Raw genomic sequence first — 25275 nt, forward strand, 5'->3', positions numbered from 1 at the left:
TATTCTTTTCACTACATCATGCAGCATTTCAACTCATTTCTTCCGCATCTACTTAGTCTAGAACATAAAATTAACTATATCACATGAACTCTTCACAAAACAATTGACTATAATCACATGGTATGGTGAATACCGATATATTTTTGGCTATTTTCAAGAATGCCTGCAAGGAATAAAGGTTTCAAGTCATAAATGGACCATTTCTGTTATTATAATTACTTCTGTTCTGGAAAAAAATACTTCCCTTATCAGATATTATGACCTTTAAGATTCCCATTTTCACAAATTATTTTTCATAAACTACACATATGTATGCTCAACTACGCAGCGTCTTACCCAACAATAGCTTAAGCAAACCACATATCTCAAATAAAAATGTCATCTATTCCAGGCTCATCAGCATATGTTAGAATCTGTTCCTAAAATAGACTCATAGACTTTTGGAATGGGAAGGAACCTTGGAGATCACCTCTCATTTCACAGAGGAAAATAATACACAGCAGGGACCTGCCCAAGGTCAAAGTGTCTTCATAAGAACCCAGGTCCAGAATAGAAAGTTCTCAAAAGATTTCAGAGAGAAATGCAATATTTGGTGAAACACCTTAGCTTGCCTCCCTTTACATCTACTTTTTTTTTTTTTTGAGACAGTGTCTCTCTGTCCCCAGGCTGGAGTGCAGTGGCACGATCTCGACTCACTGCAAGCTCCGCTTCCCGGGTTAACGCCATTCTCCTGCCTCAGCCTCCCGAGTAGCTGGGACTACAGGCGCCCACCACCACGCCCGGCTAATTTTTTGTATTTTTAGTAGAGACGGGGTTTCACCGTGTTAGCCAGGATGGTCTCGATCTCCTGACCTCATGGTCCACCCGCCTCGGCCTCCCAAAATACTGGAATTACAGGCGTGAGCCACCGCGCCCGGCCTACATCTACTTCTTAAGTACAATTTCCTGCATAGGAAACTTTTGAAATTTAAGAAAAGAAAGCAAAACAAAAAACTAAGCCAACCTTTTTTTTTTCTTTTTTCTTTTCTTTTTAAGTCTACAGCCAAGTCACTGATTCTAAAAGCTTAGAAGTTAAGGTAGACCATTGCAAGAATCTTAAGAGGTAACATTTTGGGGTAAAATCCCCAAGGCTTAAGGATACAATGTAAGTAAGACACACAAATTAAGAATAGCTATAATATTCTTATCTCTGTAACAAATTACATGGAGGATAGCTCATAAGTAGGAAAACTTTGTAAACATGCAACTTTCAAGGAAGAGAATTTTAGTCATCATACCTATTAACTATACAAGAATGCCAATACATTTTGAAATTTTATCTTGGTCTCTGTGCTTAAGCTGGAAATTTTTTTTCAAAATATATATCTTAAGTCATGTAAAAAAAAAAGCAGTAACTTGAGGAAAACCTTTTATCGACCCTTAATTAAAAGAAGGCCTTAAATCAAACCTTATTAAGAGAAGTATAAGCTATATTGTCCGGTCATGTTTGAAAGAATACATGAAAACTGAACATTCCTCAAAGTTAAGGCATGAATAGGACTAAGGACATGTACGTTTTTTGTTTTTGCAATGAAAGGCACACTATGCAAGCCAATTTACCTGTAGAAATATGTTTCTTAACTCATGAGGATCCCCTCGCTTAGTTGTCTGCACCTGTAAGCAAAAAAGAAAAAAAAGCCAGTTAATGCTTCACTAGAGACCACACAATCTCTTCAGATTAGAGGTCACATGGCTAACAATCAATGCTCCTATCTTTTATCATTTAGTTTAAAACAAACTAAAAGCCCTAATTGCTGATAAGAACTGTCAAACTGGATAACTGTGACTAGAGGGCAGAAAAACAGGTGCGAATAGCCTAAGATACAGCAAAGCTATCGGACAGTGCTTCCTCTGGACTGGAAAGGGAAGGCAATGAGGATCTTTTACTTTATTCCACATCTACTAGCAACACAGTAGTAACCACCCACCTTCAAATCAAGAAGCTAACAAGAGTAGATCAACAGGAAAGTTAAATCACCCAAATTAATCACTTGGCCTAGCAGCCTTTCTCCATAAAAAGCAAACCCAACATGTAATTATCTCCGCGTCCCTCTCCCCATCCAACCTAAAATATGAGAGCTGCCACAAATACAAATACTTTCCATACCCTGCAATCTGCAACGCAAAAGCCAACCACTGCCCTCGGCCTTATTGAGGCCCCAAATTACTCAATACTTACTCCCTCCCCCACCGCAATTCACTGATACCCTAGGTATCCCCAGCTTTACTTGCCACTTCCTCCCACACCCTTTCTGATGCCCTCCAACTCCGGACTCACAATCCCATGCACCTAGGACAGGACATTACTCTTCCTTCACTGACCCGTGTTACCGTACAAGCCCCTTCAACTCACAATCCCTCCTCCTTCCCCTCCCCCAGCCGGGCATCCCCTCCTCCGGTCCAAGCCCCGCACAGCTCTCCCCGCAGCAAGCCGGAGCCCCAGGACAAGCTATCTAAGACCTAGACAATGAATAAAATGGGAAGCAGTGGGGGGCTGCAGGCAGGGCGCTCGGAATGTCTCTTATGCAATAAAAGCAGCAGCAGAGAGTTGGAGTCACCTTGACCGCCATGCTGTGCTCGGAAGCCGGGGACGAGCGAGTGAGCGAGCAGGGCCGAGCTGTCAGGGCGCGCGCGCGCCGTCTTCCCGGCCGCGCCCGCCCTCCCTCTCGCCGGCGCCGCGCGCGTCCCTATGCAAATGAACTCGGGGCGCGCCGCGTGCGGAAAGGGGCCCGGCGTCCCGGCCAGAAAGGCAGCTGGTCCAGGGCCGGCCGGCCGGGCGGAGGAGGGGGACGCGCCTCCCACGGGGAAAACAAGCGCGACCCATGGGATCCCGACGCGCCGCGTGGTTGCCACAGCTAGGTCGCCGCCAGGAAAGCCCCAGGTTTCCTAAGGCCTCTTAGTGGGTGTGGCTTTGGGCACCGACCAGCCAAAGTCGTTTTCCCCGAGGCTTAAAGGAACATTTGGGGCCTATACTGAGCAAGGTTCCGACGGATCAAAGAGCACTTCCCATTAATAACAATGAATTAATGACAACTGATGGCAAATACCGACAAAACAAGATTGGGAACCACTCACTCTAGGGAAAACCTACGTAAACATAATTTGAGAAATATGCTCCTAAATTGGCATGGGACGAATACGCTGAATTTATTTTTGCTTTGCGTGCTATTACAACGGTTTATTAGTAGACTCGCTCCACTTTCCTAATCACCCAAATCCTGTGTGCAATGAGAAAAAAAACTCTATGTGTCTTTGACAGGGCTGGCAATGAATCGCTTGCCCATACATGAACAGAAAGTAATTCTCCATTCGATTTCTAGCCCTACCTAAGAAGTAGAAGAAGCAGTAACTCTATCTTGAACCAAAACAATGTTTCTAAACCCGTCTTGCCAATATCACTGTATTAGGCTACATATTGATTCAAACATGTATGGGCATCCATTATATGCCTGACATGGTCCTGCTTGTAAAAAACGCAAATAACCTATAGCCCCCACCCTCTAGGGGCTTACAGATGGTCAATGCTTCTCCACAACCCCAATCACATGTGTATTGTGTGTATGTGTGTCTGTGTGTGTGTGTGTTGAGACTGAGTCTCGCTCTGTCGCCCAGGCTGGAGTGCAGTGGCACCATCTTGACTCACTGCAACGTCCACCTCCCAGGTTCAAGAGATTCTCTTGCCTTGGCCTCCCGAGTAGCTGGGATTACAGGCACCCGCCGCAATGCCCAGTTAATTTTTTGTATTTTTAGTAGAGACAGGGTTTCACTATGTTGGCCAGGTTTGTCTCAAACTTCTGACCTCTGGTGATCCGCCCACCTCGGCTTCCCAAAGTGCTGGGATTACAGGCGTGAGCCACCGCGCCCGACCCTGTGTATGTTTTCATTTTTAATTTTTTGAGACGGAGTCTCGCTCTATCGCCCAGGCTGGAGTGCAGTGGCGCCATCTTGGCTCACTGCAACCTCTGCCTCCTGGGTTCAAGCAATTCTCCTGCCTCAGCCTCCCAAGTAGCTGGGATTACAGGTGCACGCCACCATGCCTGGCTAATTTTGTATTTTTAGTAGCTATGGGGTTTCGCCCAAGCCACTTATAATTAGACACTAGATAAATGACACACTTTAGGGCTTCTCTATACTGTACAACTATTCTCCCTATATGAACATTTGCTGTCATTGAAATAAATTCTCGTTTTGGTGGAAATGGAAGAGAGGGGTATCAAAAATCAGAAGAAATAGTTGTACTCCTGCAGTTATGTCTTTTCCTGAACTGTCTTCCTCACAGCCTGACTCTAAATCCTATAAATTATGCAGTGGAGATGATGGTGATCTTATTTTTGGACCACAGCCTTCTTTATTCCCTTGGTGAAGCAATAACAAACAGTTTTCTTTTCAGTGAATTTTGGAAGGAATTCATGGAATGAGCTGCTCTAGACATATATGGCTGTGAGTACTCTATCACTATACTAATTATGTATAACCTGGTATTTAGTAGGACACTATATAATCAGATGGAGGATTGAACTAGATGAGCTTTAATGCTTCTTCAAACACTCTAATTTCATGATTTAAAAGGAGCCAAATTTTAGTTAATAAACATTTATTGAGTGCCTTGCGTTTGTGTAAAACATGTGTTGCAGCCGGGTGCAGTGGCTCACACCTGTAATCCCAGCACTTTGGGAGGCCAAGGCGGGTGGATCACAAGGTCAGGAGTTCAAGACCAGCCTGTCCAATATGGTGAAACCCCCTCTCTACAAAAATACAAAAATTAGCTGGGTGTGGTGGCGTGCACCTGTAGTCCCAGCTACTCAGGAGGCTGAGACAGAAGAATCTCTTGAGGCCAGGCACGGTGGCTCACACGTGTAATCCTAGTGCTTTGGGAGGCCAAGGCGGGTGGATTGCCTGAGCTCAGGAGTTCAAGACCAGCCTGGGCAACACAGTGAACCCTGTCTCTACTAAAATACAAAAAAGTTAGCCAGGTGTGGTGGTGTGCACCTGTAGTCCCAGCCACTCGGGAGGCTGAGACAGGAGAATTGCTAGAACCCGGGAGGTGGAGGTTGAAGTGAGCTGAGATTGTGCCACTGCACTCCAGCCTGGGCAACAGAGCGAGACTCTGTCTCTGGGAAAAAAAAAAAAAAAAAAGCCCGGGCACAGTGGCTTATGCCTGTAATTCCAGCACTTTGGGAGGCAGAGGTGGGTGGATCACCTGAGGTCGGGAGTTCAAGACCAGCCTGACTAACAAGGAAGAGACTCCATCTCTACTAAAAAAAAAAAAAAAAAAAATTACAGGCTCATGCCTGTAATCCCAGCTACTCGGGAGGCTGAGGCAGGAGAATTGCTTGAACCTGGGAGGTGGTGGTTGTGGTGAGCCGAGATCATGCCATTGCACTCCAGCCTGAGCAATAAGGGCAAAACTCCGTCTCAAAAAAAAAAGAAGAAGAATCCCTTGAACCCAAAAGGCAGAGGTTGCAGTGAGCCAAGACCACACCACTGCACTCCAGCCTGAGCGACAGAGCAAGACTCTGTCTCAAAAAAAAAAAACAAAAAAAACAAAAAAAACCAAAAAAACTTGGGTTGCAGCTACAGGAAACATAAGAGAAATAGCATCGTTCCCAAAGTATAGAGAATATTTTACCGAGGCAAGTGCTACCATTCTTTTTTTTTTCTTTTTTTTTTTTTTGAGACGTAGTTTCACTCTTGTTGCCTAGGCTGGAGTGCAACGGCATGATCTTGGTTCACCGCAACCTCCACCTCCTGGGTTCAAGCAATTCTCCTGCCTCAGCCTCCCAAGTAGCTGGGATTACAGGCATATGCTGCCACAATGCCCGGCTAATTTTGTATTTTTAGTAGAGATGGGGTTTCTCCATGTTGGTCAGGCTGGTCTCAAACTCCTGACCTCAGGTGATCTGCCTGCCTTGGCCTCCCAAAGTGCTGGGATTACAGGCATGAGCCACAGCGCCCAGCTTACTATTCATTTTTTAATGAATAATGTGAAAAGAATGATATTGAAACCTGTTGTCCTGTGCCAGTGCCCAAGGCAGCTTTAGGTAATGATGGGGTAAAGACTGTGTGGCTTGCCACATATTCTCACTCCAGTCAGAAATATATAACTGGGAGAATAAACATCCTGCCAGGTCCCTCAGCTACCCACCCCTACCCTACCCCTGTCGATTTATTTGGATGCTTTTTGTTTCTCTTCTACTTAGAGGTCAATGAGGAAGAATACTTTGGACCTGATCCAAAGTAAAGAAGAAAGTGTCACTTTAAAAATTGTGTGGGAGAAAAGCAAAGGTCCCAAAATAGCCAAAGCAAATTTGAGAAGGAACAAAGTTGGAGGACTTAGACTACCTGGCTCCAAGACTTACTATAAAGCTTAAGAAATTGCTACAGCATAGTGCTGCTGGCTGGCATATGAATTGATAAACAGATCAATGGAACAGAATAGAGAGCCCAGAAATAGATCCAAAATTATAAAGTCATTGGCTCTTTCCCTCTTTCTTTCTTTCTTTCTTTTTTCTTTCTTTCTTCCTTTTTTCTTTCTTTCTTTCTGTTTTTTTCTTTCTTCTTCTTTCTCTCTCTTTCTTTGTTTTTTTCTTTTCTTTCTTTTCCCTTTTTTTTTTCTTCAAGACAGGATTTCACTCTGTCACCCAGGCTGGAGTGCAGTGGCATGATCATGGCTCACTGCAGCCCCGACCTCCTGGGTTCAAGCAGTCCTCAGACTGAAGCCTCCTGAGTAGCTAGGATTATAGGCATGCACCACCATACCCAGCTAAATTTTTAATTTTTGTAGAGAAAGGGTCTCTCTATGTTACCAGGCTGTTCTTGAACTCCTGGGTTCAAGCAGTCCTCCTGCCTTGGCCTCCCAAAGTGCTGGGATTACAGGTGTGAGTTATCTTGCCTGGCCAAAGTCATTTGATTTCTAACAAAGTTGCCAAAGCAATTCAGTGGGGGCAAGGAAACTTTTCAACAATTGATGCTAGAATAACTAGATATCAGTGTGGGAAAATTAATGAACCTAAATCCCTACCTCACACCATATACTAAATTTGATTTGAGATGAATCATAGACCTAAATGCAAAAGCTGAAGTTATAAAGCTGCCCCCAACAGCTTTATAAACAAAGGTTTTAGTAGAAAACATAAAAGAGTATCTTTGTGGCTAGGTGCCATGACATGTGCTTGGAGTCCTAGCTACTCAAGAGGCTGAGGCAGGAGGATCACTTGAGGCCAGGAGTTCAAGGCTGTAGTGATGATCATGGCTGTGAACAGCCACTGCACCCCAGCCTTGGCAACACAGTAAGACCCTGTGTCTCTAATATATATATATATATATATATATATATATATATATATATATATAACATATATATATATAAAACATATATATATAACATATATATAAAACATATATATATACACATATATGTATATATATAGAATAGATAGATAGATCTATCTTTGTAACTTGGAGGTAGGTAAAGTTTTCTTAATCAAAACCTAAAAAGCAATAACAATACATTAAGAAATTGATAAATTCCTCTGCCTCTGCCTCTGCCTCTGCCTCTGCCTCTGCCTCTCCCTCTGCCTCTCCCTCTTCCTCTCCCCACAGTCTCCCTCTCCCTCTCTTTCCACGGTCTCCCTCTGATGCCGAGCCAAAGCTGGACTGTACTGCTGCCATCTCGGCTCACTGCAACCTCCCTGCCTGATTCTCCTGCCTCAGCCTGCCGAGTGCCTGCGATTGCAGGTGCGCGCCGCCACGCCTGACTGGTTTTCGTATTTTTTTGGTGGAGACGGGGTTTCGCTGTGTTGGCCGGGCTGGTCTCCAGTTCCTAGCCGCGAGTGATCCGCCAGCCTCGGCCTCCCCAGGTGCCGGGATTGCAGACGGAGTCTCGTTCACTCAGTGCTCAATGGTGCCCAGGCTGGAGTGCAGTGGCGTGATCTTGGCTGGCTACAACCTCCACCTCCCAGCCGCCTGCCTTGGCCTCCCAGAGTGCCGAGATTGCAGCCTCTGCCCGGCCGCCACCCCGTCTGGGAGGTGGAGAGCGTCTCTGCCTGGCTGCCCATCGTCTGGGATGTGGGGAGCCCCTCTGCCTAGCTGCCCAGTCTGGAGGGTGAGGGGCGTCTCTGCCCGGCCGCCATCCCGTCCGGGAGGTGGGGAACGCCTCTTCCCGGCCGCCGTCCCATCTGGGAGGTGGAGAGCGTCTCTGCCCGGCTGCCCGTCGTCTGAGATGTGGGGAGCGCCTCTGCCCCGCCACCCCGTCTGGGATGTGAGGAGCGCCTCTGCCCGGCCGCGACCCCGTCTGGGAGGTGAGGAGCGTCTCTGCCCGGCTGCCCCGTCTGAGAAGTGAGGAGACCCTCTGCCTGGCAACCGCCCTGTCTGAGAAGTGAGGAGCCCCTCCACCCGGTAGCCGCCCCGTCTGGGAAGTGAGGAGCGTCTCCGCCCGGCCGCCACCCCGTCCGGGAGGGAGGTGGGGGGTCAGCCCCCTGCCCGGCCAGCCGCCCCGTCCGGGAGGGAGGTGGGGGGGGTCAGCGCCCCGCCCGGCCAGCCGACCCGTCCGGGAGGGAGGTGGGGGGTCAGCCCCCCGCCCGGCCAGCCGCCCCGTCCGGGAGGTGAGGGGCGCCTCTTCCCGGCCGCCCCTACTGGGAAGTGAGGAGCCCCTCTGCCCGGCCAGCCGCCCCGTCCGGGAGGGAGGTGGGGGGGGTCAGCCCCCTGCCCGGCCAGCCGCCCCGTCCGGGAGGTGAGGGGCGCCTCTGCCCGGCCGCCCCTACTGGGAAGTGAGGAGCCCCTCTGCCCGGCCACCACCCCGTCTGGGAGGTGTACCCAACAGCTCATTGAGAACGGGCCATGATGACAATGGCGGTTTTGTGGAATAGAAAGGGGGGAAAGGTGGGGAAAAGATTGAGAAATTGGATGGTTGCCGTGTCTGTGTAGAAAGAGGTAGACATGGGAGACTTTTCATTTTGTTCTGTACTAAGAAAAATTCTTCTGCCTTGGGATCCTGTTGATCTGTGACCTTACCCCCAACCCTGTGCTCTCTGAAACATGTGCTGTGTCCACTCAGGGTTAAATGGATTAAGGGCGGTGCAAGATGTGCTTTGTTAAACAGATGCTTGAAGGCAGCAGGCTCGTTAAGAGTCATCACCACTCCCTCATCTCAAGTACCCAGGGACACAAACACTGCGGAAGGCCGCAGGGTCCTCTGCCCAGGAAAACCAGAGACCTTTGTTCACTTGTTTATCTGCTGACCTTCCCTCCACTATTGTCCTATGACCCTGCCAAATCCCCCTCTGCGAGAAACACCCAAGAATGATCAATAAAAAAAAAAAAAGAAAAAGAAATTGATAAATTAGATTTCACTAAAGATAAAAATGTCTTTTCCTCAAAATATAGCATTAAGAAAATGAATAGGCAAGGTATTAACTGGGAGAGAATATTAGCAAAACATATACACAACAAAGGACTAATATCCAGGATATATCCTAAATCTCAATGACATCAATGATAAACAACCTAGTCCTAAAAATTGGCAAAAGACTGGAACAGAACTTCACAAAATAAGGTATACAAATGGTCAATAACACATGAAAAAGTGTACAACATCATTAGTCATCAGGGAAATGCAAATTAAATCACAGTGAGAAGGTACCACTACACATCTACTAGAATAGCTAAAATTAAGGACTGAAAACACCAGATGCTGGCAAGGATATGGAGCAACCAGAGTTCTTATTCACTACAGTAGGCGTGTAAACTGGTATAATTACTTTGAGAAAAAGTCTAGCAGGTTCTTGTAAAACTAAACATACACCTACCTATGACCAAGCAATTCTATCTCCCAATATTTAACCAAGAGAAATGAAAATATATGTCTATTAAAAGAGCTGTACAAGAATGTTCACAGCCACTTTATTCATAATAGCCCAAAACTGGAAATAAGCCCAAAACTGGAAATAACCCAGGTGTCCATCAATAGAAGAATAGATAAACTATGGTATATTTGGAGAATGGAATACTATTGAGAAATAAAATAGAGTAAACTAATGATACACACAACGTGGACAAGTGTCAAAAGCATGATGCTAAGTGAAAGAAGCCTTGCATAAATCATATAGTACAAAAGAGCATATATCATATGATTCCGTTTATACAAAGTTCTAGAACCAGCAAAATAAATCACTGGTGAAAAAAAATTTGAGCCATGATTGCCAGAGAGGACTTGACCAGAAAGAGGAGTAAGGGAACTATGTGAAGTGATAATAGTAGTATATGCCTTGCCTAGGGGCTTAGATAACAGGTGTATGCATTTTTCAGAACTTAGTGAATGTAAACATAAGTTTTGTACACTTAATTACAAATGTGTGTAAATTTCCTTCAAAAGGAAGAACAACCTGAGCAAATATTGAACTCTAGCCAATGATATATTTAGGGGAGAGAATACTAGTATTTTAAATTTACTTTGAAATGCATTAAAGAAATAAGAAAGATTTACAGATGGATAGAGAAATGGATGAATAGGTATGTAATTTCTAACTGTGGGAGTGTATACAGGAGTTCACTGAAAAAAATTATTGTTGCAACTTTTCTAAATATTCTAAAATTTTCATAATAAAAGGTCAGGGAAAATTTGTGTTGGTCTTTGTGTTTCTAAAAATGGCTATCCATGTATGTAATTCTGTTGTTTGGTCAGAAATTGTACTGGGACTTATTTCCTAACCACTAATAGGCCTCTGCATTGTTGGAGAGGAGGAGAAAGAACTGAAACTGCTTGACAAATAATATACCTCTTTTATGGGGAGGGGAATCTGTGAAAATTATATTGCATTGAGAAGGCTGGGTGTGGTGGCTCATGCCTGTAATCCCAGCACTTTGGGAGGCCAAGGTGGGCAGATCACTTGAATCCAGGAGTTCGAGACCAGCCTGGCCAACATGGTGAAACCCCATCTCTACTAAAAATACAAAAATTAGCCAGGCATGGTGGTGCCCACCTATAATCCCAGCTACTCGGGAGGCTGAGAAAGGAGAACTGCTTGAACCCAGAAGGCAAAGGTTGCAGTGAGCCGAGATTGCACTACTGCACTCCAGCCTGCGTGACAGAATGAGACTCTGTCTCAAAATATATATATATATATAGTTTATATATATAGTTTATATATATATAGTTTATATATATATAATTTATATATAGTTTATATATATATAATTTATATATAGTTTATATATGTAGTTTATTTATATATATAGTTTATATATACAGTTTATATATATACATATAGTTTATATATATATTACATCAAGAAAGAAAATGTTTTCCTCAACATAAATTCAGACACTAATTATATGTCCTTGGGGTCATGCATGTTTGGGTATATGTGTGTGTTCGGTCTAATAGTTACCCACAGGAAAACTAGAAAAAGAATGTGAAAGTATATTTGCATAACATACTGACAGTTACCTTGGAAAGAACCAGACTTGGAATCTAAAGCCTAACTTGGAACTCCTCTGCTGAAGTGCACCCAGGATGTAATTCTAGACTGAGAAACTCAGACGTAGGTGAGGAAGATCCTGCAATTGGTCATTGTGTCCTTGGATTGCCCTGTTGGGGGAAGGAGAATTAATCATAGGATAACACCAACTCTTTTGAGTAGGAGGTTTCCAAAAAGGGGAGGACAGGTTTGTACTCACTTAGGAAGAGAAGTCTACAGACAACCAGACAAGTAAGCTAGGAATTGGGATATGCCCAGGAAGAAACTTCTCCTGAATAATTACATTAGAGAAGTAATGTAATATTGATCAGTATCAAATTGTACGAATCAGAAGGATAATTGGAAAGTTTAAGTTAGAAAGTTTTGGAGAAACAGTATGAAATAGCTAGACCTTAAGGAGAGACAGATCTTGTGAAAAGAGACAAGTTGAGGAGAGAAAGTGGGTAGAATTGTGGAATTCTTGACTCTAGTCAAGCCAGTATAGACAATAAATCATGGAGTAACTGATCTACGAAGTCTTGCCTGTACTATGCCTCGCTATCACTGCTTGAAAAGAAGAAGAAACAGTTGCTGTTGCTCACTCTCCTGACTCTGCTCTTCTGTCACCCTGAGTGGATGGACTTGCCTGGATGGTTTGGGGTGAGGATAGGAAATAAAATAGGGAGTCAACAGTTATAATTCCTCTAATCATCCCCAACCCTTCCATAAAACACTATCTGCGAACAAGTGTTGTGTTGATGGCATGGAAGAAAAATCACAGTAATAGGAAGTATAACCTTCCTCGGTGAAGTGCTAACCCCCTCACTGAGATCCATGTGGCAATAGCAGCAACATCATCTCATCAAAGACAGTAGGCTCAGGGTTCTACATGGATAACAGCAGCTAAGTGAGTGTAAGCCAAGACTTAACAGAATGGTAATGAGGAGCATGGATCACAGAGAAGCAACTGCCCAGTAGATGAGACAAATCCTTCTTTACTTAAACATGCTAGAGAACATTGCAGGGAGAGTGGGATGCTTCATCATATGGAATTCTATATGGCTATGAAGTTCTACTCTATCTCCAAGATACTATATGTGCCTTCTTATTATTGATATCTGTAAGCAGGAAATATGAAGGGAACATAATCATCTAAAACGATTAAGTAACAATGCACATATGAGGATTCTTAATTGTGTGGTAAATTTATGCAAGAGAGGTTTAGACAAAAAATCGGTTTAAGCTGGACGGTAAACAAAAGGTTTCATGGAAACAATAACTCACCTCTGCTTTAATTCAGCATTTTTCTGCATTCCTTCCAGAATAGGTCTTATTATTGTATCCTTCTTTCTTTATCCATACCCTCAGTCCTAACACTTATCTCAGTGCCTGCTGTTAGTCATGTGGGTATTAATTAAATGGTTTATTGATCATTCCTAGCCAGTTTCTCTACCGATAGCCAATTAGTCCCCTTATCTTTCCTAAGTGAAGGCCATTACTATTGCCCTTGTTGCTTGAGTCAGAAAGCTAGGTATCAGACTCTCCCTTGTTCCTCACATTCAAATAGCCACCCAGTCCTGCATTTTCCATTCCCTTCAGTGCTTTTTAAATCTCTTCTCTTGGCCGGGCATGGTGGCTCACACATGTAATCCCAGCACTTTGGGAGGCCAAGGCGGGTGGATTGCCTGAGCTCAGGATTCGAAACCAGCCTGGGCAACATGGTGAAAGCCCGTCTCTACTAAAAATACAAAAAATTAGCTGGGTATGGTGGCAGGCGCCTGTAATCCCAGCTACTTGGGAGGCTGAGGCAGGAGAATCACTTGAACCCGGGAGGCGGAGGTTTCAGTGAGCCGAGATCATGCCACTGTACTCCAACCTGGGTGACAGAGCAAGACTCTGTCTCAAAAAAATAAACAAACCAAAAAAGCTCTTCTTTTGATTATAATAGCCTTTATTGTGCCTTCTAATTCCTCTCTCAGTTTCCACTTCTCTACTTTCTGCCTCCTGTCACTACCCTCAAATCCATTCTCCACAGTGCTACCAAGTGTTTGATCTAAAACAGAAATTGAATTTTGTTACTTGCCCATCCTTCACTGGCTCTCTACTGACTTCAATATAAAATCCAAACTTGACCGGGCACAGTGGCTCACTCCCGTAATCCCAGCACTTTGGGAGGCCGAGGCAGGTGGATCATGAGGTCAGGAGATTGAGACCATCCTGGCCAACACGGTGAAACCCCGTCTCTTAAAAAATATACAAAAATTAGCCTGGGCGAAAGAGCAAGACTCCGTCTCAAAAAAAAGAAGAAGCTCCTCCTCCAGAAAACAATCCCTAGCCCCGTTTTCCCATTTAGGGTAGCCTCCCTTTGAGCACTAACTCTATCCTATGCATAGTATTTATCACACTTTTGTTGTTGTTGTTGTTGTTGTTGTTTGAGATGGAGTTTCGCTTTTGTCACCTAGGCTGGAGTGCAATGGCACCATCTTGGCTCACCGCAACCTCTGCCTCCCAGGTTCAAGTGATTCTCCTGCCTCAGCCTCCCAAGTAGCTGAGATTACAGGCATGCGCCACCACACCCAGGTAATTTTGTATTTTTAGCAGAGAGAGGGTTTCTCCATGTTGGTCAGGCTGGTCTCACACTCCTGACCTCAGGTGATCCACCCGCCTCAGCCTCCCAAAGTGCTGGGATTACAGGCGTGAGCCACCGCACCTGGCCTAATTACACTGTTATAATTACCTCTTTGCTTATTATCATTTCCACTGGTGGCTTTCAAACTACTTTACTAACCCACACCTATATATTAAAAAAACACATTTTTTTTTTACAACTCCAGTACATACCAAAATAAAAATTTCACAGAGCAGTACTGAACCTTACTACATGCAACACACTCTGGTTATTTACTATTCCACACTATATTCTATTTCTTTATTCTAATTTTGGTTTCAACACACTAAATTGATATCATGCATGACCCTTTAGTGGGCCAAACTTACAGTTTAAAAATATTGCAATACAATGTGAACTCACGTAGATTCTAGAGCATGGTAGATGCTCAATGTAGGAATTGAAGAAAAAGATAAAACAAAAATCTGTGTATCCCTAGCAATTAGTGCAGGGTAAGGTACAAAGCAGTGGTTAATAAAAATGTTTGAGAACAAAATAAACACAAAATTCTGGGATAGATCATCTTCATGAATCATATTCCCCCCATCACTTCCCTTTTTAAGAATAAAGATTTCTTGGCAGAGCGCGGTGGCTCACTCCTGTAATCCCAGCACTTTTGGAGGCCAAGGTGGGTGAATCACCTGAGGTCAGGAGTTCAAGACCAGCCTGGCCAACATGGCGAAAACCTGTCTCTACTAAAAATAGCAAAAATAATTAGCTGGGTGTGGTGGCACATGCCTGTAATCCCAGCTACTTGGGAGACTGAGGCAGGAGAATCGCTTGAACCCAGGAGGCGGAGGTTGCAGTGAGCTGAGATCATGCCATTGCACTCCAACCTGGGCAACAAGAGCAAAACTCCACCTCAAAATAAATAAATAAATAAATAAATAAATAAAGATTTATTACAAGATATTAAGATGAAAACATGGACATGTAAAAACATATACAGAGACAGGCAAAACTGGAGAAGGAATAAAACTTGTTGTATTTGAAGGGGATGGTGAGATAGAGAGGCACGATTCTGAAAGCCAGCTGTTAGGTCTTCTTCCAAAAAAGGCTTGAAGTGGTAAAGTCACCAATGTCCAGGATATGGTCATCAGTTCTGTATGTCATAAATCATCTTGTAAATGGCCCAAATATCACTTAAGCTAACCAAATTAACAAGATACTGATGAATAACCAATATAAGCTAATATTTACTGAGTACTTACTTTGTTTCAGGCACTATTATAATCACTTTCTATGAATCTATCCTCAAACAACTCTGAAGTAGGGTAATTTCATGTCATTATCTCCATTTCAAAGGTCAGGAAACTGAGACTGGGAGATTAAGCAGCTTTCCCAAGGTTATAAAACTAATAAATGGTAATAAAGTTATAAAAAGAATAATAATGAAAACATTGTGAAAAATCTCTCAGAAAGTAGAGCAATACACCAAGAAAGAGAGGGAAAGGATTTAAATACAAAGAACTAATCCAGGGGGCCCAATAATTGAATTCTAAGAAGTCTGGGGGAAATAGAAATTTAGCATGATAGAAAAGAAATTATCAAATAAACAACGCAAGAGAACTTTTCATATCCAAAAGATGAGTATTCAAAGTGTTCTCTGTGTACCCAAAACAATGAATAAGAAAGGCTCCATACCAAGGCACATTTTGAAATATCAGAACATTGGAGATAAAAAGAGAAAAAAAAAACAAAAAAACACAATAACAAAAAAAAAAAACAGGAGGAGGTGAAAACAGCCCCTCTCATTATCTCACGAAATAATCCACTGGAGAAATTTTTTTTTGAGACGGAATCTTGCTCTGTCTCCCAGGCTGGAATGTAGTGGTGTGATCTTGGCTCACTGCAACCTCCGCCTCCCGGGTTCAAGAGATTTTCCTTCCTCAGCCTCCCGAGTAGATGGGAGTACAAGTGCACGCCACCATGCCCAGCTAATTTTTGTATTTTTAGTAGAAACGGCATTTCACCATATTGGTCAGACTGGTCTTCAACTCCTGACCTCATGATCCACCAGCCTCGGCCTCTGAAAGTGCTGGGATTACAGGCATGAGCCACCACGCCTGGCCTCCACTGGAGAAATTTTTGCCTCTTTTCCCCACAACCTTGGGCTCACAGATTTTGAGGCCCTAGTGTCCAAGGAAGAAATGCTTCCACCAAGAAACACCATCATGGGTCAGATGAATTGGAAACTGAAACTGCCTCCTGGAGATTTTGGGCTTCTTCAGCTGCAAAACTAGAGGTAGAAAAGGGTCACCACAGCCAAGTGGTGATTAATCCCCAATATCAAGGAGAAACTGGGTTGTTACTATACAATGAGGCAAGGATGACTACGTCTGAATCCCAACTGAGGCAACTCAGTAGAGACAGCCAATCCAACAGAAGTAAGACCATAGTGCACTCAGACCATTTGGAAATTAGGGTTTGGGACACTGTACTAAAGAATAAAACATAGTCAAGGTGCTTACAGAAATGAGGGGACACAGAATGAGGGGTGGAAAAAGGAAGTTATGATTATCAACTTAGGCCTCATAATCACCCACAGAAGTAGAGTTCAATAGCAGCTTCATTTTACATTATTCTTGATCCTTATTCCACCTGTACCTCATACGAAGAGCATTGGCATTGGCTAACATTTCAAATTTCATCATCCTCTGATGATATGATAGGTGTGGGACTATGTGTGGTCACTGTGTTAGCAACACTGATTGCCACACAAGAGATGGTATGTGAATTTCTTACAGGCAAGTGAAACCTGTAAGATACTGGGGCTTGAATTGCCTTTACAGTATTCCACCCAAAAACAAGGCCTACTGACAGGAGACCACAGCAGCAAGGAGCCAGAGTTTCCTTGTCAGGAAATTGGTATAATGCGGAGGCCCCTGTAGGCTCATTGAAGTAATTAAGAATGCATGCTATCTAAGAGGCAGTAAGAACATCGATGATCAATGTCAGCTGGAGAAGTAGAGATGACCAAAAGTGAATATAGTTAAGTAGCAAGATTCATTTCTTCTCTATTCCTACTTCTAACCCCTAACCTGGAGGAGTTAGCCTTGAAAAAAAAAAAAAACGAAGAAATATCCTAGAACCAGATACCACCCCCCACCTGCCCCCAACCCAATCTTAAGGAGCTTAGAGAGGGAGAATGCATAAAAAATTGACCAGGATCTATTACACATCTCAGGTCCCTATGGCTACAAATCTGGCCAGCAATGGGGAAGTTTTAAAACTAGTCCAAGTTTAAAATTCTGAAGTTTTAAAGTAGTCCATGCTAGACTTCGAATAACTTAAAAGACCAGAAAGCTGGTCGGGCACGGTGGCTCATACCTGTAATCCCAGCACTTTGGGAGGCCGAGGCCGGTGGATAATCTGAGGTCAGGAGTTCGAGACCAGCCTGGCCAACATGGTGAAACCCCCCACCTCTACTAAAAATACAAAAGTCAGCCAGGTGTAGTGGTGCGTGCCTGTAGTCCCAGCTATTCCAAAGGCCGAGGCAGGAGAATCACTTGAACGTGGGAGGTGGAGGTTACAGTGAGCTGAGATCGTGCCACTGCATTTCAGCCTGGGTGACAGAGTGAGACTCCATCTCAAAAAAAAAAAAAAAAAAAGAGAAGAAGACCAGAAAACTATGGAATCTGCCTGGGGGGAAAGGATATTCAACACAGTACTGAGGAAACAGTGACTTGAGAAAAAGAAAACATTTTATTTTTGAATCTCCACCAAGTTCAGATTCCTTAGTAATCTGGTCGCATAAAAGTATGAGTAGAAAATAGTTTATTACATAAGTTAAGTGAATGAATCAGAACTTGAAATTGTATGTATGTGATAAGCACAATTGTATAAATAATCTGAATATATTAAAGTCTGGAGCAGATACTTGAATTTTCCCTAAATCACAATTTTGCATAGGGTCAGCAATGACCACATATCTAATCAAACGTACTATAATACTTCTTTGTGTTATTTATTTGTTTAAGATGTAAAATAGGTTTATTTAGCATGATTGCTTTTCACAAACCTATGTTAGATGATGGATACTTGGCTACCTTCTGTGGATCTATAAATTGCAGGGGTTTTCTTGTGGGGGCTGGTTATTGTTTTTCAAAGATTTAACACTATAGTCTTGCAAAGAAGCAGACTAAACAGAGCATGATCCCTCAGTTCCTCCCTTTTCCATTAAAAATTGAGTATTTTGCTTGACTTTTCCCGTTATCTGCAATCATTCCAGTTTGCAGGGAGTCCATACATATAATTGTTAATATTGCAGATATTTCAGAGAACATGTCTTTGAGCCTTCCAGTGAAGATTCCTTTGGCCCACCTGATGTGAAATCATCTATCCTAACCCATTCTATCTCACTCCAATTTCTATAACATCATTGGTAATATTTGTATGAGGACTCTAATTTATGAAGTCTTCCTCCCACACTGAAACATTTTAGGGCACTGGAGCAAGGTAAGAATCTCCTGGAACTACTTGTGGTACACTGATCTCATATGTAGGAGTGCCTTAACCTCAAGACTGGCACAAAAAAAGATTAAATGTTCATGGTTATCATTTTTTTTTAAAAATCTCAACCTTGTATGACCCCAGTGAAAAATACATATGAACTAAACAGCATAAAAATAATGAGGTTTATCAAAGAATGACCCTTTCAAATCACAGCTATTGTTCTTATCTGTCACATGATTTAGATAATTATCTTTCTACCTTTAGTAAATGGATGTGTTGTAATATACTAAATATACAACACAATTTTCATTTGTGGTTAGATATGTACTCATATATAATTAAACCTTATAGTAGTAAATAAAATTGTCATTTGGTATTTAAACATATAATCTATTTCATTTAACAAAAAGCAAAGCAAAACCTAAGGAAATTAAGTCATACTGATACTATTTGAATGAATTGGACATTTGTCATCTCCCTGCTGCAGTCCTATATTTACTCAAAAGTACAATACGAACTTCAAAATATGAGAATAAAATAACTTCAAAGTCCACATGCAAAGGAAAAAATAGCAAACATCTTTACCAAATGAAAGAAACATACAATTTAGCTCAGCAGGACTTCTACACATCCAAGGACAATGTAGGTTTGCAGCCACACATTTTTGAAAAAGAAAATTTCTTGGCTGGGCACAGTGGCTCACACCTGTAATCCCAGCACTTTGGGAGGTTGAGGCAGGTGGATCACGAGGTCAGGAGTTCGAGACCAGCCTGGCCAAGATGGTGAAACCCCATCTCTACTAAAAATACAAAAATTAGCTGGGCGTGGTGGCAGGCGCCTGTAATCCTCGCTACTCGGAAGGCTGAGGAAGGAGAATTGCTTGAACCCGGGAGGTGGAGGTTGCAGTGAGCTGAGATGGCATCACTGCACTCCAGCCTGGGCGACAGAGCAAGACTCTGTCTCAAAAAAAAAAAGAAAAAAAAAATTATTTCTGGTCTTTCTTGCGATCCTTCCTTAACAAAGCTGGCATAAAACAAAATGTTATAGGCTGGGCGCAGTGGCTCACCCTTGTAATCCCAGCACTTTGGGAGGCTGAGGCGGGCAGATCACTTGAGGTCAGGAGTTCGAGACCAGCCTGGCCAACACGGTGAAACCCCGTCTCTACTAAAAACACAAAAATTAGCTGGGTATGTTGGCGGGCACCTGTAATCCCAGCTACTCAGGAGGCTGAGGCACAAGAATCACTTGAACCTGGGAGGCAGAGGTTGCAGTGAGCCAAGATCACGCCATCACACTCCAGCCTGGGCAATAGAGTGAGACTCAGTCTCAAAAAAAAAAAAAAGTTATAATTATCTGTTAATATTTTAAAAGATTTTAGAAACCTTTTGAAATTTTATTACTTTTTTAAATGAAAATTTTCATTTCTCCAAGTATTCAGAATATTACATGTTTTTTAAAAAGTCACATTCATATTTTTAGATAAGATTCAGTTAATGAGAATATAACCCAGTATCTCGGGGTAAATAGATCATTCCATTTATATAGGGATTGTCCTTAAGGATCAGGCAGGGAAGGAAGGGGATAAAGAAACCTGAGAGGGGGCCTAAGAAGAGAAGATATGGGCAAACTTAAATAATGTATTCAATACAACAATTAATCTGAATAAAAGTCTTTAGTAAATGTTAGTTAAAAGAATTGCTCTCACTTCAAGTGAGAACTCAGGGATGAAGATAACATAGATCCAGCCTTGTAGAGTATAAGGAAATGGCTGTGCTTTGGTCAAGGAGGGGCCAAGGTAACTATCCAGAGTGACTCAGAGAGTTTAGAGCGCAGGCGTATAACTCCACCTGTTATCACAGCCATGTAGCCATAACATAGGAAGGCCATCACTTGGTTCTACACCACATTGTCTGTAAAAGGTATAAATGCCCTACTGACACCGTACAGGCATGCTCGCACCCAGAGAAAGAGAGCGAGCCAAAGCTGTCCATCTTACAGATGGACAGGAGGGATCCAGGACACAGCTAGACTTGCTTGTCCTCAGAGAGAGAAAAAGTTAAGCTGCTGACCCTGAAAGCAAGGGAGAGGCGGCTGGCGCCACTGTGCATGGGAGCCACAGGCTCAAGCAGCCCGGACAGAGCAGACAGTGTAAGAGAGCTGCTGAATAAAGCCGTATTTCACCTGCCTACAGCCCCCCGAGTGTTCTTCCACCTATTTGCCACTCATCCTGTAACCGACCAAGGGGTTCACCTTGCCCGCTGCCTAGACAGAGCCAATTCATCAAGACAGGGGAATTGCAATTGAGAAAGAGTAATTCACGCAGGGCCGGTTGTGTGGAAGACTGGAGTTTTATTATTATTACTATTATTATTGTTATTATTTTGAGATGGAGTCTCGCTCTGTCGCCTAGGCTGGAGTGCAGTGGCGCAATCTCGGCTCACTGCAAGCTCCACCTCTCCGGTTCACACCATTCTCCTGCCTCAGCCTCCTGAGTAGCTGGGACTACAGGCACCCGCCACCATGCCCAGCTAATTTTTTGTGTTTTTAGTAGAGATGGGGTTTCACCGTGTTAACCAGGATGGTCTCGATCTCCTCACCTCGTGATCCGCCCGCCTCGTCCTCCCAAAGTACTGGGATTACAGGCGTGAGCCACCGCGCCCGGCCAGGAGTTTTATTATTACTCAAATGAGTCTCCCTGAGCATTCCGGGAGCAGAGTTTTTAAGGATACCTTGGTGGGTGGGGGGAAGCCAGTGAGCCAGGAGTGCTAATTGATCAGAGATGAAATCATAGGGAGTCAGAGCTGTCTTGTTGCGCTCAGTCAGTTCCTGGGTGGGGGCCACAAAATCAGATGGGCCAGTTTATTGATCTGGGTGGGGCCAGCTGATCCATCAAGTGCAGGGTTTGCAAAATATCTCAAGCACTGATCTTAAAAGCAGTTTACGGAGGGTCAGAATCTTGTAGCCTCCAGCTGCATGACTCCTAAACCATAATTTCTAATCTTGTGGCTAATGTTAGTCCTACTAAGGCAATCTAGTCCCCAGGCAAGGAGGAGGTCTGCTTTGGGAAAGGGCTGTTACTGTCTTTGATTAAACTATAAAGTTTCTCCCAAAGTTAGTTCAGCCTACGCCCAGGAATGAACAAGGACAGCTTGGAGGTTAAAAGCAAAATGGAGTCAGTTAAGTTAAACCTCTTTCACTGTCCCAGTCATAATTTTGCAAAGGTGGTTTCAATCCACCTGCTCCCTCCGGACCTCAGCATGGGCTGGAACCTGACCCTGAACCTAACAGAGAAGTTATCAATAAGGAGCAAATAAGCTTAAAAGTAGAGAAGGTAATGATTCACCATTATCCCCAGAAGGACAGATCAGAAAGTTGAGGCAGTCCTTCTGTGATAAGCAGGCCTACCTTGGTGAATGAACATAGCAGGCCCTCAAAACAGCAAGCCTCAATGAAGCCTGCTGGAGAGAAGTGAGAGGGCAAGACTCTGTCTCAAAAAAAAAAAAAAAAAAAGTCTTACTCAGGGTGAAATGTGGGACTGCTGCATGGTACAGCAGCGTGTTCCTGTTTGTTGTGGGAAACCCGAGGAGAAGAGGAGGAAGGATATTATATTCACTGTATCAATTGCCCAGTACCTCTCCTTGATTCCATAAATGTATTCCGAACAGGTCTCTGGATCTGGGAAGATGACAGTTTACATTTAGTGTTTGAATGTTCAGGTGCTTAATTGATTGAAGGGTAGAGAGAAGGAGGGTAAGCTCCTGATGGGGAATAGCCAGGCTTTCTTAGAGCTTGGTAAGAAAGCTGGAACCTAATCTGAGTTAAAATTGTCTAGGGAAATCCAGAGCTACTGGTGGGCTTGTCTCCAAGAATACTCCCATGTCCCAGAAAATTGTCTCTTTAGAGCTATTGTACCAGGGATACAATTTACTGTGGCAAAAGATCACCTCTTGGAAATTGTGTTGCTTACTCACCTTCCGCCACAGCTATTCCCTGGTGACATTCAGAGGGCAAGGCCTGTGTTACACATGTGTTGGTAGTAATGGGTTAAACGTGGATGAGACACTTTTTAGTCCCTGATTCTAATCACATGCTTAAGGATGTTTTTTAAAGCAAAGAAACTTAGCAGTTTTCAATCTCAAGAGCTGTGAAATACTTAAACAACAGTGAAAGCTTAGTTATTTGGGAGGAAAAATATGTTCTTGGTATTACTACGCAGTCATTTAACAAACATTTAATAGGTATCAACCATATGTCAGACACAGTGACTTTCTCTGCAAAGTAAAGGCAGCAAATTGGCCCTTTCTACAACATGAAAGGGGAAGAAAAAAAGTAGAAAAACAGAACCATTTGAGAGACTTGGGCCATAATATCAGCTTATCAGTTTCTTACTGATAATCGAGAGTGTGAAATTAAGGCAGGGACCTTCACGGGTGCACAAGTGATCTACTGGGACAGAAAGTATTAAAAATGCAGCTGAGCACAGTGGCTTATGCCTGTAATCCCAGCACTTTGGGAGGCCGAGGCAGGCAAATCACTTGCGGTCAGAAGTCTGAGACCAGCCTGGCCAACATGGTGAAATCCCATCTCTACTAAAAATAAAAAAATTAGCTGGGGCCAGGCACGGTGGTTCATGCTTGTAATCCTAGCATTTTGGGAGGCTGAGCTGGGCTGATCACTTGAGATCAGGAGTTCAAGACCAGCCTGGCCAACATAGTGAAACCCCATCTCTACTAAAAGTACAAAAAATTATCTGGGCATGGTGCCGGGCCTATAGGTACGTGCCTATAGTCCCAGCTACTCGGGAGGCAGGAGGATTGCTTGAGCCCAGGAGGTGGAGGTTGCAGTGAGCCAAGATCGTGCCAGTGCACTCCAGCCTGGGCAATAGATCCAGACTCTGTCTCACACACCCGAAAAAAAGCCGGGCGTGGTAGTATGCGCCTATAATCCCAGCTACTCAGGAGGCGGGAGGCTGAGGTGGGCCCATCCCTTGGACCTGGGAGGCAGAGGTTGCAGTGTGCTAAGATCATGCCTCTACACTCCAGCCTGGGCAACAGAGTGAGACTCCATCTCAAAAAAAAAAAAAAAATAGTATTAAAAGTGAGTATTTATGATCTTTTTTGTCTAAAAAATAAAACATTAATAGTAATATTTAATATGTGAATTAACAGTAGTAAAAAGCATACATTTTTAAGGAGATATGACCAAAAGTTGTTACACATATGTGTGCCAAATAAAAATGTATCATAATGACGAGATTATCTGATTTCTAAAGCCACTTGGCTCTAAAATTCCTGATTCTGTATTATTCAACTGCCTTAGTTTCTCTTAAACTATATTAAAAAATAAAATCCTATCTATACTAACACTGACTTCCTCATATAAAACAAAATTTAATTTTGAAAAGATTTTAAAAAGCAAATCTTTTATTCTTTAAATGCATCCTACCCCTACCGACTCACCCTTCTTACCTGATAAAGCAGGTTCTCTTTGTGTCATGTGATGCCAGTCAGTATGACTTTCTTCCTCTTAATTCATTCAACTGACTGGCAAAGGGACTGGCCCTGTGTTTATGCGATTAATGAAGTTAACCTTAAAGTCTGGATCCCCCTAGAAAATTTTTGAAAAAAATCTCTTTAATTTTCACTAACTTGCACAGTGGTTGATTTAGCTTGTTGACTTCATATAGTCCCTCAAAACTCCAATTTGTAAAAAGAATTAGAGAAAACACTACCATAAAACTAAACTTTATTTTTATTCTTTTAAGGTTTATGAACTAAACACTGAACTAGCACCATTATACAGTTGGTATAAACCTTGTTACTTTGTGTGTCCACATCATGGGAAGTTAAAACTCCTGCTGTACATAGTGATATAGGTAAATAGGTTACAAAGGAGTTGACTGAAAACCAACCTATTAAAATGACAGATTTCACAACAAGGTGAATATATTCTTAATATTACTGAACTATAAACTTAAAAATAGTTAACATGGTAAGTTATATGTTATGTGTTTTTTTACATTAAAAGAAAGACAATGGCCTGGTGCGGTGGCTCACACCTGTAATCCCAGCACTTTGGGACAGAGGCGACAGAGTGAGACTCCGTCTCAAAAAAAAAAAAAATAATAATAATAATACTTAAAATAGCATTTTAATGATAGAATGTATAATATCACAGTTATTATTGTATTACCTACCAAAAGTAGACAAATACATAATTAATGCCATTCTAATAAATTAGTTTCCAAAAGTAAAGCAGGCATCACTGGACAGTCATTTTGAAAACAGGTATAAATAATTATAGTGCTTGTTATTTTGGCCAATCTTTGCTTGTAAATAATGACAAAATGCAAAATGGAAAATATTAGTTTTCAACTAATTGTTCCTAGTTTTGATTAAATTGCTTCCCTTAGAGTCTGTGTACCATAATACGTCGAATGTAGAGAAGAGGATAGGGAGTTAGCAACCATGTCTAAAAACCTCCAAAAAGATGGATAAGTTTCTCTTTTTTTTTTTTTTTTGAGACGGAATTTTGCTCTAGTTACCCAGGCTGGAGTGCAATGGCGTGATCTTGGCTCACCGCAACCTCTGCCTCCCGGGTTCAAGTGATTCTCCTGCCTCAGCCTCCCGAGTAGCTGGGATTACAGGCATGCACCAC

General features: G+C 42.9%; 1 protein-coding gene and 1 long non-coding RNA gene across 3 annotated transcripts in view, besides 4 other annotated features; both read right to left on the reverse strand.

Annotated features, from left to right (window-relative positions):
- SLC25A12 (solute carrier family 25 member 12) overlaps positions 1 to 2639 on the reverse strand; it is a 110840-nt gene extending 108201 nt beyond the window's left edge. For both annotated transcript variants that reach the window (NR_047549.2, NM_003705.5), the window contains exons 1-2: positions 2598 to 2639; positions 1600 to 1653 (exon numbers count right to left, since the gene is read on the reverse strand). Coding sequence is in view for 1 of the 2 variants with exons in the window: in NM_003705.5 (NP_003696.2) it covers positions 1600 to 1653; positions 2598 to 2609 (66 nt within the window). In the remaining variant the exon portion in view is untranslated. The remainder of the gene's footprint in view (positions 1 to 1599; positions 1654 to 2597) is intronic.
- Positions 2285 to 2851: an enhancer, noted in NCBI's record as "H3K27ac hESC enhancer chr2:172750400-172750966 (GRCh37/hg19 assembly coordinates)". NCBI's record gives its function as "activates a minimal SCP1, AML or CMV promoter by ChIP-STARR-seq in naive H9 embryonic stem cells {active_cell/tissue: H9 hESC(naive)}" and the evidence as "EXISTENCE:reporter gene assay evidence [ECO:0000049][PMID:30033119]".
- Positions 2285 to 2881: a biological region, named in NCBI's record as "H3K27ac hESC enhancer GRCh37_chr2:172750400-172750966".
- Positions 2562 to 2881: a silencer, noted in NCBI's record as "silent region_12105". NCBI's record gives its function as "represses an Ori minimal core promoter by ATAC-STARR-seq in GM12878 lymphoblastoid cells {active_cell/tissue: GM12878}" and the evidence as "EXISTENCE:reporter gene assay evidence [ECO:0000049][PMID:35858748]".
- Positions 2852 to 3418: an enhancer, noted in NCBI's record as "H3K27ac hESC enhancer chr2:172750967-172751533 (GRCh37/hg19 assembly coordinates)". NCBI's record gives its function as "activates a minimal SCP1, AML or CMV promoter by ChIP-STARR-seq in naive H9 embryonic stem cells {active_cell/tissue: H9 hESC(naive)}" and the evidence as "EXISTENCE:reporter gene assay evidence [ECO:0000049][PMID:30033119]".
- LOC105373739 (uncharacterized) lies at positions 11521 to 25196 on the reverse strand. The gene is made up of 3 exons (XR_923578.1): positions 25163 to 25196; positions 24087 to 24225; positions 11521 to 11626 (listed from the first exon to the last, which is right to left on the reverse strand). It is a non-coding gene; the product is annotated as an uncharacterized LOC105373739 (long non-coding RNA).
- Between the last annotated feature and the right edge of the window lie 79 nt (positions 25197 to 25275).

This window comes from Homo sapiens, chromosome 2 (assembly GCF_000001405.40).
Source record: "Homo sapiens chromosome 2, GRCh38.p14 Primary Assembly".
Classification (NCBI taxonomy): domain Eukaryota; kingdom Metazoa; phylum Chordata; class Mammalia; order Primates; family Hominidae; genus Homo; species Homo sapiens.